This window comes from Homo sapiens, chromosome 6, assembly GCF_000001405.40.
Source record: "Homo sapiens chromosome 6, GRCh38.p14 Primary Assembly".
NCBI classification, from domain to species: domain Eukaryota; kingdom Metazoa; phylum Chordata; class Mammalia; order Primates; family Hominidae; genus Homo; species Homo sapiens.
This window is the reverse complement of record NC_000006.12, coordinates 89837360-89855965: the sequence shown is the minus strand read 5'-3', so window position 1 is coordinate 89855965 and position 18606 is coordinate 89837360. Positions and strand designations below refer to the sequence as shown.

The 18606-nt window shown below is 42.5% G+C and overlaps 1 protein-coding gene across 3 annotated transcripts in view; it reads right to left on the bottom strand.

The window, feature by feature from the left end:
* The window catches only part of CASP8AP2 (caspase 8 associated protein 2), a gene marked incomplete in the record, with an annotated part of 44557 nt that overhangs the window by 18471 nt on the left and 7480 nt on the right, over nt 1-18606 (bottom strand). For all 3 annotated transcript variants that reach the window (NM_012115.4, NM_001137667.2, NM_001137668.2), the window contains 4 exon segments: nt 422-496; nt 1049-1149; nt 2732-2800; nt 9322-9404. In NM_012115.4, coding sequence (NP_036247.1) covers nt 422-496; nt 1049-1149; nt 2732-2800; nt 9322-9376 — 300 coding nt within the window.

Below are 18606 nucleotides of genomic sequence, written 5' to 3'. Positions count from 1 at the left end.
ACATTTGCTATTTCATTTAATACTAAAAGAAAGCTTCCTTATAAACTGTCAACACTTTAACATTTTAATTTCTATTTATAACAACTTTTTTTTTGTTGTTTTACTTTTTTTAAGTGACAGGGTCTTGCTCTGTCACCCAGGCTGGAGTGCAGTGGCACAATCACAGCTCACTTTAACTTCAAACTCCTGAGTTCAAGAGTCCTCCCTCCTCAGCCTCCTAAGTAGCTAGGACTACAGGGGGCCATACACAGCTAATTGTTTTATTTTTTTGTAGAGATGAGGTTTCGCTACCTTGCTAAGGCTGGGCTCAAACTCCTGGCCTCAAGCAATCCTCTCACCTCTGCCTCTCAAAGTGCTGAAATTACTGGTGTGAGTCACTGTGCCTGGTAATTTGTTTTTTATGTTTTCATTTATACTCTACCTGTGTCTGTATTTCTTTAAATTTTTTCATCAGCTCTTTCATTTGTAGTTGACATTTTCCATATTCTACTTGCAACTATAAAATATAAAAGGATTAATTGAAGTATCATTCAAAATTATTTTCTTAGCTTAACTGGCATTTCTAAATATTTTAAATTTTGCAAATCAATTCACTAAGAAGGCAGATGAGGTCTACTTCTACCAGAAAGATAACCAGTTTTAAAGTTAAGCCTACAAATAATCTATTTTGTTTAGTTTCACATTCAACATCCAAACCTTAAAATTCAAATATAGTAGAAAGAAATAGAAGTCTGAGGACATTTTATGCAACATATAATTTAACTTTGTACATATCATGAAAGAAAAAATGTTGTAACACTGTTTGCCTGTTGAGGTTTTATATTCAGATGCTTAAATTGGGTCAAGCAAAATTATAACTAAATTTAGACAAGTATTCAGAAAACATTCCTTTAAAAAACAGGTCTGAAGACAAAAACTGACTTAAATATTTGTTAGTCTAAGAGCTAAGTTCCTAAACAAAATATCTGTTCAAAACTAAGCAGCTGACTGCTCTTCAGAAGCTACAAAACAGTAAATAACTGTCCTTAATAATTGTGGCAACCCATACATCATTATATGTTGCCTCCTTTGCAGTTCCTTCTTCAGTCAGGATCTCTTCATATAAGTCCAAACAATTTCTTGATGGTACACAGGATTTGGAAGCGCTGTCTAAAAACAAACAAACAAAAAAAACCTTCCATAAAAATACTTGTTACACTTTTTTCTTTTGTTTTTTTGAGTCTCGTTCTGTCACCCATGCTAGAGTGCAGTGGCAGTGGTGCAAATCTTGGCTCACTGTAGCCTCACCCTCCCAGGTTCAAGCCATTCTCATGCGTCAGCCTCCCGAGTAGCTGGGATTACAGGTGCACGCCACCACGCCCCACTAATTTTTGTATTTTTAGTAGAGATGGTGAGATGGTGTTTCACCATGTTGGCCAGGCTGGTCTCGAACTCCTGACCTCAAGAAATCCACCCGCCTTGGCCTCACAAAGTGAAAATATTTGTCACACCTTTTTTTTTTAGGAGTCTCCCTCTGTCACCCAGGCTGGAGCGCAGTGGCGCTATCTTGGCTCACTGCAACCTCCGCCTCCTGGGTTCAAGCGATTCTTCTGCCTCAGCCTCCCTGAGTAGCTGGGACTATAGGCACGTGCCACCATGCCCAGGTAATTTTTTTTGTATTTGTAGTAGAGACGAGTTTTCACTATGTTGGCCAGGCTGGTCTCCAACTCCTGACCTCAGGGGATCCGCCCGCCTCGGCCTTGCAAAGTGCTGGGATTACAGGCGTGAGCTACCGCGCCCAGCCTTGTTACACTTTTTGATATTTTATCTACTTCAAAGATTATACATTTCTCCATCTCCCATACTTCATCCTACATTTCACTTATCCTACATTCCAAATTTATACTGATTTTACAGATGGACTACCAATTTACCTAAAATGGTTGTGTCAACCAAATTAGGTATGAAGATCATAACTGTTCAAAACTCTGAGAAATCTGATTATGGAAAAGGTTTCTAATTTGAATAGGTCATTAGATTCTCAGCATATCACTCTTACTGATACGTTTAAAAATATTTATAGTAACTTACACTTTTCAAATGTTCTAATATCATATAACCTTCAAGAGTATGAGTGCGGCCAGGTGTGGTGACTTATGCCTGTAATCCCAGCACTTTGGGAGGCTGAGGTGGGCGGATCACGAGGTCAGGAGATCGAGACCATCCAGGCTAACATGGTGAAACCTTGTCTCTACTAAAAATACAAAAAATTAGCCGGGTGTGGTGGCACGTGCCTGTAGTCCCAGCTACTTGGGAGGCTGAGGCAGGAGAACCACTTGAACCCAGGAGGCGGAGGTTGCAGTGAGCCGAGATCAAGCCACTGCATTCCAGCCTGGGCGACAGTGTGAGACTCCGTCTCAAAAAAAAAAAAAAAAAAAAAGAGTATGAGTGAGTAGTAACAGACACCAGCACTAGTTGCACTTCAATAGTAGAAAATGTTTTTGCACAAGGCTCAATTAAATCTGAGACTGAGATGAATAAAAAACCTGTGTGCTAATTTGTTTTTCTGATCAAGCTTTGGTTAAGATTGGGTTCTGGAAGTTACTGTGGGGGAAAAGAAAGAAAAGAATTACCTCAGTGTAATTACAAAGAATGAGCAAATTCTTTAGGAGCTATGATATACCAGGATTTAGTAACCACAAAACAATGAACTGACCAAGAAAATGAAACTATTTTTATGGAATTCACATACCAGAAACAGCACTGTCCAACCCAGCGTATATGTCCAGTGAGCCTTCATCATTGTTCTTAAGAGGAGAAGCTGCAAGAAAGGCAAAGATTAGTTAAAAATGACTTTAGGCACTGAGATTTTTCCATTCCTACACTAAAGGACCAGGAAAAGAATGAGATTTAACAGTTTTGCTTTAAATAAGAGATAAGCCAGGCATGGTGGCTCACGCCTGTAAACTCAGCACTTAGGGAGGCTGAGGCAGGTGGATCGCTTAAGCTCAGGATTTCAAGACTAGCCTGGGCAACGGGGCGAAACCTCATCTCTACTAAAAATACAAAAAAAGGCCGGGCATGGTCGCTCCCGCCTGTAATCCCAGCACTTTGGGAGGCCGAGGTAGGCAGATCACTTTTCAACCCAGGAGTTGGAGACCAGCCTGGACAACACGGTGAAACTCTGTCTCTACTAAAAATACAAAAATTAGCCAGGAGTGGTGGTGCATGCCTGTAATCCCAGCTACTAGGGAGATTGAGGCACGACAATTGCTTGAACCCGGGAGGTGGAGGTTGCAGTGAGCCAAGATCGTGCCCCTGCACTCTAGCCTGGATTTCAGAGTGAGACCATGTCTCAAATTAAAGAGAGACAGGGAGAGAGAGACACAGACAGACATTGTCTCTACACATAGTTATAAACAGGAAGATTTTGGCACACTGATTTATTTATTGACTACCTCAGATACAGACTTTAAAAATTCAGTTTCAAAAATATACTAGTGAGGCCAGGTGCAGTGGCTCACACCTGTAATCCCCCGACTTTAGGAGTCTGAGGAGAGAGGATTGCTTAAGCTCAGGAGATCAAGACCAGCCTGGACAACATAGCATATCAAAAATAAAAATTAGCCAGGTGTGGTGGCACATGGGAGGCTAAGGTGGACTGCTTGAGCCCAGAAGGTCAAGGCTGCAGCGAGCCATGATTATGCCACTGCACTCCAGCCTGGGTGACAGTGCGAGATCCTGTCTCATATATATATATTCTACTGAAAGAGTTCCAATTCCAGTTATAGCAGAGTAGTTTCTATGAAACCAATCCTCCTGCAGGCAACTACTGTTGACACTAAATAAAATATGTGAAGCTATCTAAAGAGCTAGAGAACAACCTAAAGCAGGCAAAAACTAAAAGGGTAATGACAACTGAAAGAAAATAGCACCTCCCAAGCTCCCTGTCCCCTTTTATTACTGCTTTTTGTATAAAGACAGGCCCTAGTTGTAGCTACACTGGGCAGTGACAACTCAAGATAGAAACCTCCAGTCCTAGTAGCTTGAAGAACCGGAGAAAAGAATTTGTCATGATAACAGTGACTAGTACATGAAAGGGGAATTACAGAAATCCACAAAGAGCATTACTTAAATTCTGCCCAAATCTCTGGGTGACCCTCAAAAAAGGGTAGAACTCCAAAAAGCCAGCTAAATCTAAAATAGAGATTTCAGTTGCTATTACAGAAGAGACCGAATTGTAAGTTCAGCTAAGTTAAATATCTGCTAAAATTAAAAACAACTCTTCAGAGGAATGTTAACAGCATCCAGTGTCTAACATTTCATTTACAATGTTGACTATTCAATCCAAAGTTACTACATGGTGGCCAGGTGCAGTGAGTCACACCTGTAATCCCAGCACTTTGGGAGGCCAAGGCCAGAGGACTGCTTGAGCCCATGAGTTCGAGACCAGCCTAGGTAACATGGTGAGACTCTGTCTCTACAAAAAAAATTAAAAGAAAATTAGCTGAGCATGGTGGCAGATGCCTGTAGTCCCAGCTACTCAGGAGACTGAGGCAGGAGGATGACTTGAACCCAGGAGGTCGAGGCTGAAGTGAGCCATGTTCATGCCACTACACTCCAGCCTGGCTGACAGAGAAAGAACTTGTCTCCAAAAAAACCACACAGACAAACACAAACTTACTACATAGAAAATCTCAGAAACAATGAAAAAGAACCAAATGAAAAACCTACAACTGAAGATTACAATATCTAATATAAAAAATTACTGGATGTGCTTGACAGGAGAACCACTGAACTTGAAGACAGATCAACAGAAATTACCCAATCTGTAGATGAGAGAGCACTTTCTTAAAAAAGAACAGAGTCTTAGTGACCTACATGATAATATCAAAAGTCCTCACATAGTGTATATGTGGAGTCCAGAAGCAAATAGAGAATGGGGGGAAACTGCTACTAGAGGGATACCAAAGAATGCTAGGACTGGAGATGGTAAATAAATGAGTAATCGTAAAAGACTAATTTTTCTTCTTAATTTAAGATCCATAGAACTGTTACAGTAAACACTATAGCATTTTTTTTGTTTTGTTTTGTTTTTGTTTTTTTGTTTTTTTTGGGTTTTTTTTTTGGTTTTTGTGAGACAGAGTCTCGCTCTGTCGCCCAGGATGGAGTGCAGTGGTGCGATCTCGGCTCACTGCAACCTCTGCCTTCCGCCTCCCAGGTCCAAGCAATTCTCCTGCCTCAGCCTCCCAAGCAGCTGAGACTACAGGCACACACCGCCACACCTGGCTAATTTTTTGTATTTTGGTAGAGACGGGGTTTCACCGTGTTGCACAGGTTGGTCTCGAACTCCTGTGCTCAGGCAATCCACCCGCCTCGGTCTCCCAAAGTGCTGGGATTACAGGTGTGAGACACCACGCCCGGCCCAGTAAACACTATAGCATTTTATTGTGGGGTTCTAACATGAAAGGCAAAGAAGCAGATAGATGCAACCATACATGCAAGATATTGTAAAAAGGTACAATACTAGTAAACAGACTACAAAATGTTAAAGATGTATACACTTCCTCAAACAAATACTAAAAATAATACAAACAGGTATAGTGAAAAAGCTCATACATAAATGAAATGCATTTCAAAAATACACTCAAACATTACTAGCAGTTAGCACTAGTGCTAAAGGGAGAAAAAAAATTTAAAAATTTAAAATAAGTAAATAAATATATACTCAAATAATATTTGAAAGAAAATCAGAAAAAAATAACTGATGAGAAAAATTGAAGTCAAATATTAAAATGACCTAAATCCAACTACAATAATAAAGAACATCATTCGCTGGAATAAAAATAGCAAATCAAATACAAAAGTATTTTATCAGTGTTAAATCTAATGAAACTGAAATTACACTGTGGTTATATAAGAGAACCAACTTTTCCTTATGAAATACATACTGAAATACTTAGGGGTAAGGGGCCATAATGTATACAACTTACTCTCAAATGGGTCAGGAAAAAAAATGGGTGTGCATCTAGACGTGTGTGTGTGTGTGTGTGTGTGTGTGTTTACAAAGAGAGAGTCTAGGCTGGACGCAGTGGCTCATGCCTGTAATCCCAACACTTTGAGAGGCCAAGACAGGCGGATCACCTGAGGTCAGGAGTTTGAGAACAGCCTGGCCAACATGGTGAAGCGCCGTCTCTACTAAAAATACAAAACTTAGCCGGGCATAGTGGCGCACACCTGTAATCTCAGCTACTCTGGAGGCTGAGGTAGGAGAATCACTTGAACTCGGGAGGCAGAGGTTGCAGTAAGCTGAGTTAGCACCGCTGCACTCCAGCCTGGGTGACAGAGCGAGACTCCGTCTCAAAAAAAAAAAGGCAAGACACAAAGCAGAAAGTACACCGTAGCTGTGACTATTTTTAAAATGTACATGCTTTTCCTACTGCTTCACTTGATTAGCCTAAAAAATATATATATGGGCTGGGCGTGGTGGTTTATGCCTGTAATCCCAGCACTTTGGGAGGCTGAGGCGGGCAGACCACGAGGTCAGGAGATCGAGACCATCCTGGCTAACACAGTAAAACCCCGTCTCTACTAAAAATACAAAAAATTAGCCAGGCGTGGTGGCGGGTGCCTGTAGTCCCAGTTACTCGGGAGGCTGAGGCAGGAGAATGGCGTGAACCCGGAAGGCACAGCTTGCAGTGAGCCGAGACTGCGCCACTGCACTCCAGCCTGGGCGGCAGAGCGAGACTCCAACTCAAAACAACAACAACAACAACAACAACAACAACAACAACAACAACAAACAAACCTGGCCGGGCGCGGTGGTTCACGCCTGTAATCCCAGCACTTTGGGAGACCAAGGCGGGCGGATCACCTGAGATCAGGAGTTCGAGACCAGCCTGGCCAATATGGCGAAACCCCGTCTCCACTAAAAATACGAAAAAATTAGCCGGGCATGGTGGCACGCTCCTGTAATCCCAGCTACTCAGGAGGCTGACAGTAGAATTCCTTGAACCTGGGAGGCAGAGGTTGCAGTGAGCCTAGATCATGCCATTGCACTCCAGCCTGGGCAACAAGAGCAAAACTCTGTCTCAAAAAAAAAAAATGTGTGTGTGTGTGTGTGTGTGTGTGTGTGTGTGTGTGTGTGTGTGTATAGACAGCAACTTGACAGTGATACATAGAAATAAAAACAGCTGCATCCAGAAAATCAGATTAAATTGTAGTTTTGTCCTTCAAATTTTAATCGTTGCAGACGTGATGAAATTTAATCATTTGTGAATCTAGGTGACAAATAATGCTGTTCATTATATTATAGTTCCAATTTTTCAGTTTGGTGGCTTAAATTTTTTTTTTTCTTTGAGATGGAATTTTGCTCTTCTCCCAGGCTGGACTGCAATGGCAGGATCTTGGCTCACTGCAACCTCCACCTCCCAGTTCAAGCGATTCTCCTGCCTCAGGCTCTTGAGTAGCTGGGATTACAGGCGTGCACCACCATGCCCCGCTAATTTTTGTATTTTTAATAGAGATGGAGTTTCACCATGTTGGTCAGGCTAGTCTTGAACTCCTGACCTCAGGTGATCCACCTGTCTCAGCCTCCCAAAGTGCTAGAATTACAGGCGTGAGCCATCGCACTCGGCCTGGCTTAAAATTTTTCAAAGGAAAAAACATCAAAGAGAATTACATAACAGAATAACAACTTGAAACTACATCAGCAAAAATAAACACCAAATAACACCACCCAGAATGGTTATAATGGCCATAGTTGGTGTGAACTCTTCCATATCTATGAATTGTTTAAAACATTATTTTAAGCAAAAATGGAATTCTACTAAACATGTTTTATAACTGTCCTTCTTACTCTCCATGGCATAGGAATCATTATTCTGGTCAATAAACATATGCCCATATCTCAACAAATTCAATGAGGTCACAGCATGATTATCATTAAAAGAAAGAGATAATAATGTTATGTCAGTGTTTGGAAGTTTACCTTCTGCATATTATTTAAAATATTTCTATTTTGGGCTGGGCACGGTGGCTCACACCTGTAGTTCCAGCACTTTGGGAGGCCAAGGTGGGTAGATCACCTGAGGTCAGGAGTTCAAGACGAGCCTGGCCAACATGGTGAAACCTCGTCTCTACTAAAAATACAAAAATTAGCCAGACATGGTGGCAGGCACCTGTAATCTCAGCTACTCAGGAGGCTGAAGCAGGAGAATTGCTGGAACTCAGGAGACGGAGGTTGCAGTGAGCCGAGATTGCGACACTGCACTCCAGCCCAGGCTGACAACAGCAAGACTCAATCTCAAACAAAAAAAAAAAGAAAGAAATTCTATTTTATGAGCTTATTTTAATACCAGGTATTGACAGTTATCTCTTTTTCAAACTAATCATCCATTGTGACTATCAATTTTTTTTTTTTTTTTTGAGACAGTCTTGCTCTGTCATCTAGGCTAGAGTGCAGTGGCACAATCTCAGCTCACTGCAACCTCCACCTCCTGGGTTGAAGTGATTCTCCTGCCTCAGCCTCTTGAGTAGCTGAAATTACAGGCACATGCCACCATGCCCGGCTAATTTTTGCATTTTTAGTAGAGACGGGGTTCACCATGTTGGTCAGGCTGGTGTCGAACTCCTGACCTCGTGATTCGCCCGCCTTGGCTTCCCAAAGTATTGGGATTACAGGAATGAGACACTGCACCTGGCCCAATTTTTTTCTGAACAACAAACATCATTGCATTTACTAGAAATATTAACTTCAAGAGTAACAAAAACCTATCTTATATATTTTTAGGTATAACAATAAAAATCATTATCATTCATATTAGTAAAATCACTAATTTGACTACATTCTGAGGCTTGAAAGCATACAGTAAGTTCACACTTATTAAGCATTCCCATGTCCCAGGCATTTTATTTTATTAATTCATTTATGTATAGAGGGAAAAGGCTGATAATGACTGTGTTTCCAATGAGAATAGGTAAATGATTTTGTAATTTAAAAAGTAAAGTTAGGCAAGGCATAGTGGCTCACACCTGTAATCCCAACACTTTGGGAGGCAAAAAGGGAGGGTCGCTTGAGTCCAGGAATTAGAGACCAGCCTAGACCACACAGTGAAACCTTCTCTCTACAAAAAATAAAATGATTAGATGGCCGTGGTGGCATGTGCCTGTAGTCCTAGCTACTCAGGAGGCTGAGGCGAGAGGATCCCTTGAGCTCCCAAGTCTGAAGTCATAGTGAGCTATTAATGGCGCCACTGCACTCCACCCTGGGCAACTGGGGGAGACCCTGTCTCATAAAAAAAAAAAAAGGAAATTAGAAAGACAATTAAATGTAGCTCTTACCAGAAAAGACATCAAATAAACTTGTTCCATCACCATTGTCATCATCTGCTGCCATGATCCTATTTCCTTTTGAGAGTCACCACCTACGGTATTAAATATTTTAAAATTTCCACTGTTAAAATAAACCTCACAATTCAGAGAATAAACCTAGCTTCAAAACAAAAAGCAATTTTCGAATTTGGACACATTGAAAAAGTTCACTCTATCATTCTTTGTTTTTGGAGACAAAGTCTCACTCTGTCGCCCAGGCTGGAGTGCAGTGGCTTGATCTCTGCTCACTGCAACCTCTGCCTCCTGGGTTCAAGTGATTCTTGTGCCTCAGCCTCCCGAGTAGCTGGGATTACAGGAGTGTACCATAGCTGCGATTACAGGAGTGCACTACCATGCCTGGCTAATTTTTGTAATTTTAGTGGAAACCGGGTTTTGCCTGTCTGCCACGTTGGCCAGGCTGGTCTTGAACTCCTGGCCTTAAGCAATCCACCCACCTCAGCCTCTCAAAGTGCTGGAATTACAGGTGTAAGCCCCCATGCCTGGCCTTTCTCTCTAACATTATTAAAAGCAGATTTGTGTTATCAAAAAAAGTGCCTAATATTTTCCAGGAAAAAGTCAAAACTATAAAACAAAAATTTTAAACTTGTTAATATGGCCACGCATGGTGGCTCATGCCTACAATCTCAGCACTTTGGGAGGTCAAGTCAGGTGGATCGCTTGAGCCCAGGAATTTGAGACCAGCCTGGGCAACATGGTGAAACCCCATCTCTACAAAAAATACAAAAATTAGCCGACTGTAGTAGCCTGTGCCTGTAGTCCCAGCTACTTGGTGGCTGAAGCAGGAGGATCGCTTGAGCCTGGCAGGGAGAGGTTGCAGTAAGCCACGATAGTGCCACTGCACTGCAGCCTGGGTGACAGAGTGAGACCCTGTCTCAAAAACAAAACAAATAAACAAAAAATTGTCATTAAGCTATGTACAGAGTAAATGATAATTTTATAAAACAGACCAAAATACAAATTAACTTTTTTTTTTTAGATGGAGTTTCGCTCTTGATGCCCAGGCTAGAGTGCAATGGTGCAACCTCGGCTCACCACAACCTCCACCTCCTGGGTTCAAGCGATTATCCTGCCTCAGCCTCCCAAGTAGCTGGGATAACAGGCGCGCACCACAACGCCCAACTAATTTTGTATTTTTAGTAGAGATGGGGTTTCTCCATGTTGGTCAGGCTGGTCTCGAACTCCCATCCTCAGGTGATCCGCTGGCCTCAGCCTCCCAAAGTGCTGGGGTTATAAGCATGAGCCACTGCCCCTGGCCAAATTAACTTTTGTACTAAAATAAGAACCATCACTACTATCACAACACACACACACACACACACACACACACACACACACACACACACACACACATTAATACTAACAAGAAATACTGATACCAGGCCAGGTGCGGTGGCTCACGCCTGTAATCCCAGCACTTCGGGAGGCCGAGGCGGGCAGATCATGAGGTCAGGAGATCGAGACCACCCTGGCTAACATGGTGAAACCCCGTCTCTACTAAAAATACAAAAAATTAGCCAGGCATGGTGGCGGGCGCCTGTAGTCCCAGCTACTCTGGAGGCTGAGGTAGGAGAGTGGCGTGAACCTGGGAGGAGGAGCTTGCCGTGAGCCGAGATCGCGCCACTGCACTCCAGCTTGGGCGACAGAGCAAGACTCCATCTCAAAAAAAAAAAAAAAAAAAAAAAAAAAGCAAAGCTTTTGGAACTAAAAGATGTTTGACTTAATAATTAAGGAAACACAAATTAAAACAATGAGATATGCCATGTTGTGTAGGAAAGTGTTGGCATAGCCAGGCATGGCTACTTATCCTTAGAAAGGCTGCTTACTAAGGCCCTTGGCTGGAGTCTAAGAACTCAAATTTCAGGAGGGTTCCCACAATTTCCAGACTGATAAAAAGTGGCTCAATGTGCCTAAACTGTTCATACAAACAATTTGGTTTATCATAAACACCTGTTTCCTTCTGGGAGTCTTAAAATTTTAGTACATGCCAGGCAGAGGTGGCCTATGTGACCAGCCCCCAGTAAAGAGCCTAGGCACTGAGTCTCCAACATGCTTCCCAGGTAGACAGCATTTCACACCTGCTATCACTAGTTGCTGGGGGAATAAACAGATAAGTGCATGACTCCACTGGGAGCAAAACCATGGGAACTTTAACCTGGTTTCCTCTAGACTTTACCCCATGGACCTTTTTTCCCTTTGGTGATTGTGCTTTGCATCCTTTCATTGTAATAAATCATAGCTGTAAGTACAACTACATAGTGAATTCTATAAGTCTGGCAAATCATCAAACTTAGGGGTGATTTTGGGGACTCCTGACACGTTTTCACCAACAACATAGTAAGACAAGCAAATAACAAAAAGTTTGATAGTACACTAGGTTGACAAAGGTATGGGAAAAGATGTACTCTCATAGCTCTCTCAAGTGTACACTGGTAAAAGCTCCATGAAAGCAATTTGGCAACAGCTTTGATTTGATTAAAAATTTGATGAAATGTTTAAGTACAATACTCTGACCCAAAAATTTCACATCTAATAATCTGTTACCAGTGTTGTTTATGGTAAGACTAGAAACAACATAAGAATCCAAAACAGTAAAAAAACAAAAACAGGCTGGGCCGCAGTGGCTCATGCCTGTAATCCCAGCACTTTGGGAGGCCGAGGTGGGCGGATTACTTGAGGTCAGGAGCTCGAGATCAGCCTGGCCAACATGGTGAAACCTCGTCTCTACTAACACTACAAAAATTAGCTGGGTGTGGTGGCAGGTGCCTGTAATCCCAGCTACTTGGGCGGCTGAGGCAGGAGAACCTCTTGAACCCAGAAGGCGGAGGCTACAGTGAGCCGAGATCACACCACTGCACTCCAGCCTGGGCAAAAAGAGTGAAACTCTGTCTCACACATACACACACACACACAAAAAAAAGTCTCTCTTCACTAACTTATCTGGCATCCTCTAATCTGCCAGTAAAACCCAATGAATGATGCTTATGGCCACTGAACTGTGGCCACTTGGGGCTATGAAATTATTAGCAAGCCTGCACCTGCATACTACTGCTCCCACCAATTGAGATATATGCTTATATCTCAATGCTTAATCTGCTGCCTGAATCCTGAAGGACAGGAGGTGAGCCAAGGCCATGGTGCCAGCCTGAAGAGCAAGTACCCCTGAGAACCCAAACATCCCGGGGAGTATCTGAGAACCTACCAAGAAAAACAGTCTCATGGCTTAAATACAGTAGGCAATGAGCCAGAAAGTTAGCTTAAAAATAGTTTGCAGACAAAGGGCAGCATGGATCTCTACAGCTGTCCTGCTGCCATCCAGGAGTGCCTTGTAATAAATAAACTTATTAGTCCTAGTAAATGTATCTATTCACCAACCTGGACTTGTGAGTCATCCTTTGGTCTCCTGGCTCCCTCTTAGCTCGGGGGAAGGTTTTCTATATACGATTCTGGGTTTTTCTCAAAGCTTACCAATGTGCATTTATTATCAAATCAATTATGCTCATTTTCCTATTTTTCTAAATCACAGTATGATGAAAGATCACAATACCAAAGGGAGTTATTTTCTAGTGAAAACTAGGCAGAATGCTATGGAAAGACAGGTAACAAAACACACACACACACACACCTCTGCATGTCAAATCAAGTGAAGACAAAATGATCCAAAGTACTAGGGGAGAAAATCTAGTCTATACTCAGATCAATTAAAAAGTATGTAAGTTTTTTTTTTTTTTTTTTGTTTTTGTTTTAAGACAGAGTCTCCCTCTGTCACCCAGGCTGGAGTGCAGTGGCATGATCATAGCTCACTGCAACCTCCCTGGGCTCAAGCAAGGACAAAATAAAAACTGAAAATCATGGGCAATGTCTTACGGGTGTAGTTTACGCAAGAAAGACGTCAACACTCTCATCATTGGATTCATATTCAAAGAAAAGATCATGGTTCTACCACAAGAGATAAATAAAATCAAGGTGTATTTTTTTTCTCCATTCCTCACATTCCTCAACCTAACATTTGTTTCAATTAGTTCATTTGATTAGCTGTTATAAAATAGCCTGCACAATTACAAAAAGCACAAATAACACGATCACGTTTGGTAAATAACACAACTGACTCTTTGCAAAGCAAAATTCAACTGGTGAAATCAGATACTCAGAGGTTTCCTAATGAGAAATCTACTATTAGTAGCTGTAAGTGGTCACATGGAGAGGGGAGCATTAGTCATGAGGTGTCCTCTCAGAATAATGGAGAATCTAATGATTTGGTTAAAGAGATCAAACAGATCAAAGCTTTCCCTGCACTATTATTTCATACAGTTTTAGTTTATACTACTGGCAGGGATTACTTTAAAAAAAAAAAAAAGGTGTGGTAACTCACACCTGTAATCTCAGCACTTTGGGAGGCTGAGGTGGAAGGGACTGCTTGATCCTAGGAGTTTGAGACCAGCCTGGGCAACATGGCAAAACCACATCGAGACAAAAAAAAATACAAACAAACGGGCTGGGCATGGTGGCTCATGCCTGTAATCCCAGCACTTTGGGAGGCCGAGGTGGGCAGATCATGAGGTCAAGAGTTTGAGACCAGCCTGGCCAACATGGTGAAACCCTGTCTCTACTAAGAATATAAAAATTAGCCAGGAGTGGTGGGGCGTGCGTGTAATCCCAACTACTCGGGAGGCTGAGGCAGGAAAATCACTTGAACCCGGGAGGTGGAGGTTGCAGTGAGCTGAGATTGCGCCACTGCAAGCCAGCCTGGGCGACTGAGCAAGACTCTGTCTTGAAAACAAACAAAAAACCTCACACCTGTAATCCCAGCACTCTGGGAGGTCAAGGTGGTAGGTTCACTTGAGCCCAGGAGTTCGAGACCAGCCTGGGCAACATAGGGAGACCCCATCTCTATTTAAACAAAATAAATTTAAAAAAAAAGTAGCGAGGCATGGTGGTTCACACCTATAGTACTATCTACTTTAGTAGCTGAGATGGGAGGGTCAATTGAGCCTATGAGGTGGAGGCTACAGTGAGCTGTGATCATGCCACTGTACTCCAGCCAGGGCGACAGAGTGACAGACCAGACCGTGTCTCAAAAATAATAATTAGAAAAAGACTTGACCTAGTAAGTTAAACCTGGAAATAAATATAAATCTAAGAGACCTGGTAATCCTGGGTGTCTTTTTTTTTTAACAACTAGTCAAGGGGGGAAATAGTAGAACAAGAAGTTTGATCTGTAACTGATTGTGAACAGCCAACTGAGAAAACACTACTTTCGGACCAGCTAAACATGGATCTTTTGCCCCCATCTGTCTTAAATTTTTCTCCAAATTTTTTGTCAGATCATTATCTCCACATCTTAATTCTAGGTCCCCACCACCAAAGGTATTTTTTAAAAGATTATTTATAAATTTAAGAAGTGGATGCTCATTTCTTAATTGTGTCACATGATGCATTAATAGTCCTTCAAAATTTCTGAAAACATACACAGTAATATAGAGAAGTCATCAAAAGAAGTTATATGTGTGTGGTTTCTCACTGTGTACACATGAAAAAGTTAAAGGTTCTTAGCTTCCTAGGCTGTAGGAAAAGGAAAAAAGTAGTTAAAGGGACTGTGACAGTTATGCCTCTCAATTCCAAATCCATCCTTCTGTGATAATGGAGCTAGGCCTTGTAGATATTTCTCCTTTGCTAACTGGCACAAGGTTAAACCTTATCAGCAGAATGGTGGAGGAACACTGGAAGAGGAAGGGGGATTCTTTCCCTAGTTTCAGTGCATCTGGCTAGCAAAGCTCCTACAGAGCCTGCTGTCTCCAGCATTCAGTTCCAGCAGGGCGGTTTTCCACAGGCTCACTTCCTGTACATTAGGCTCCTATTATGATTGGCTCCTGCAGAATACGGCTTCCTCCTGCTAGGTTCATGGAGAGGGCAGCTTCTCCAACTCATAGATCCTTTAGCACCCAGGAGCTTCCCCATACACCTCCTCTGGCAGATTTAGAACAGAGTAAGACACTTAGCAACGTCTCCACCATCCAGTTGACCCCCCAGCAATGCTCTTTCCATGAGGTCTGGATCCCATCCTTAGAGTGAAGGAACACAGCTCTTCTTTGGATGATCTATCAAAACCCTAGAGGTCATAGCTGCTTCCTATATCTTATATTCCTATATTTTTCAGTTATTCTTTAACTATTACTTGACAATTACTAGTTACTTCAATCCTGTCAATAATTCTTTTTTTTTTTTTTTTTTTTTGAGACGGAGTCTCGCTCTGTCGCCCAGACTGGCGTGCAGTGGCGCAATCTCGGCTCACTGCAAGCTCCGCCTCCTGGGTTCACGCCATTCTCCTGCCTCAGTATCCCGAGTAGGTGGGACTAAAGGCGCCCACCACCACGCCCGGCTAATTTTTTATATTTTTAGTACAGATGGGGTTTCACGGCCTTAGCCAGGATGGTCTCGATCTCCCGACCTCCTGATCCGCCCGCCTCGGCCTCCCAAAGTGCTGGGATTACAGACGTGAGCCACTGTGCCTGGCCTTTTTTTTTTTTTTTTAATTTTTTTTTGGGACGGACTCTCACTCAGCCGCCCAGGCTGGAGTAAGTGGCGCGATCTCGGCTCACTGCAAACACTGTCTCCCAGGTTCAAGCGATTCTCCCGTCTCAGCCTCCACAGAGTAGCTGGGATTACAGGCACCCGCCATCATGCCCGGCTAATTTTTGTATTTTAGTAGAGACGGGGTTTCACCATGTTGGCTAGGCTGATCTTAAACTTCTGACCTCAGGTGATCCGCCCGCCCTGGCCTCCCAAAGTGCTAGGATTACAGGCCTGAGCCACGGAACCCGACCAATAATTCTTTATACTAAACTTTCCCTTTCAAATTAGTATGTGGTTTTTGTCTACTGACTGGACCCTGACCGATACAGATAAGTAAGTCACAATAGGCCGGGCGCAGTGGCTTATGCCTGTAATCCCAGCACTTTGGGATGGATGGTGGGTGGATTGCTTGAGGTCAGAAGTTCGAGACCAGCCTGACCAACACAGTGAAACCTCCTCTCTACTAAAAATACAAAAATTAGCTGGGCGTGGTCGTGGGTGCCAATAAAGCCAGCTATTCCAGAGGCTGAGGCAGGAGACTCACTTGAACCCAGGAGGCAGAGGTTGCAGTTAGCCGAGATGGCACCACTGCACTCCAGCTTGGGCAACACAGCGATTCTGTCTCAAAAAAAAAAAAAATTGTTACAATAGAGATTTTAACATACTTTTCTCTGATGATCAAGCAGTTAAAGAAATTTAAGGATATAGCTCTGAATAGAAAATTGACAGGTTTGATCTGATAATTTTATAACCCTGCATACCACAATTAAAAGAACTTACACTACTTTTAAGCACATTTATAAAAATTGTCTATGTATCAAGCTGCAGTGCAAGTTTCCACAAATATCAAAGAAATGTTTCCGTCTAGCCCAATAAAATTCAAAGTTAACAATGCACTTTCAAATTTCCCTGTTCAATTGGAACTTAATAAACATAGGTCAAAGAACAAATACTAATGGAAACTGGGAAAAAGTACAGAACTGAATAACAATGAATACAACACAGAAAATTCATGGGATAAAACCAAAATAGTACTTTTAAAGGCAAAGTTACAGTACTAAATGTATAGGAAGAAAGGACAAAATATTAATGAGGCCATCAATCACCTCAAGAAGTCAGAAAAAGAACAAAGTAAACCCAGATAAATAAAAATATAACCAGCAAAAACTAACAAAAATAAACAAGCACTAGAAAGATCAATAAAAATAAATGTTGGCTCTGTCAAAAGAGAAATAAGCATATCTATGGCAAAACTAATCAAGAAAAAGAAATAAGGCACAAACACCACAAATTTTAAAACAGTTAGGCCGGGCACAGTGGCTCGTGCTTGTAATCCCAGCACTTTGGGAGGTTGAGGCGGGAGGATCATTTGAGCCCAGTTCAAGACCAGCCTGGGCAACATAATGAGACTCTGTCTCTAAAAATAATAATAATAATAATGAAAAGTTAATCTGTTCCAGACAACAGAAAAAAACTATTTGTGAATAAGCAAATAATTTTTTGAGGCGAATACAACCTCAATTTCAAAACTGGTTGGGCCGGGCGCAGTGGCTCATGCCTGTAATCCCAGCACTTTGGGAGGCCGAGGTGGGTGGATCATGATGTCAGGAGATCGAGGCCATCCTGGCTAACACGGTGAAACCCCTTCTCTATTAAAAATACAAAAAAATTAGCCGGGTGTGGTGGCAGGCACCTGTAGTCCCAGCTACTCGGGAGGCTGAGGCAGGAGAATGGCATGAACCTGGGAGGCCGAGGTTGCAGTGAGTCGAGATCGCGCCACGGCACTCCAGCCTGGGCGACACAGTGAGACTCCGTCTCAAAAAACAACAAAAAACAAACAAACAAAAAAACTGGTCAAGAATAGGGCAAAACAAAAAAACTACAAGACCAGACAACTACAAGCCAATCTTTCTTATGAACATAAACAGAAATAGCCTTAAAAAAAAAAATCGGCCTGTCATCCCAGCACTTTGGGAGGCCAAGGTGGGTAGATTGCTTGACGTCAGGAATTCGAGACCAGCCTGGTTAACATGGTGAAACCCCGTCTCTATTAAAAACACAAAAATTAGGTGGCCATGGTAGCACGCACCTGTTATCCCAGCTACTCAGGAGGCTGAGGCGGGAGAGTAGCTTGAACCTGGGAGATGGAGGTTGCAGCGAGCCAAGATTGCACCACTCTCCAGCCTGGGCAACAGAGCGAGACTCCGTCACAAAGAAAAAAAAATCAACCAACTGAATCCAGCAAGATATTAAACGAAAAAGCACTACAGACAAGTGAGATTTATCCCAAAAATGTGAGGATGTCTAACATTAAAAAACCAATTAGTGGGCTGGGCACGGTGGCTTACGCCTGTAATCCCAGCACTTTGGGAGGCTGAGGCAGGCGGATCACGAGGTCAGGAGATCGAGACCATCCATCCTGGCTAACACGGTGAAACCCCATCTCTACTAAAAATACAAAAACAAAATTAGCCGGGTGTGGTGGTGGGCGCCTGTAGTTCCCGCTACTTGGGAGGCTGAGGCGGGAGAATGGCATGAACCTGGGAGGCGGAGGTTGCAGTGAGCTGAGATTGTGCCACTGCACTCCAGCCTGGGCGACAGAGCCAGACTCTGTCTCAAACAAACAAAAACAAACAAACAAAAAAACAATTAGTGGCCAAGTAT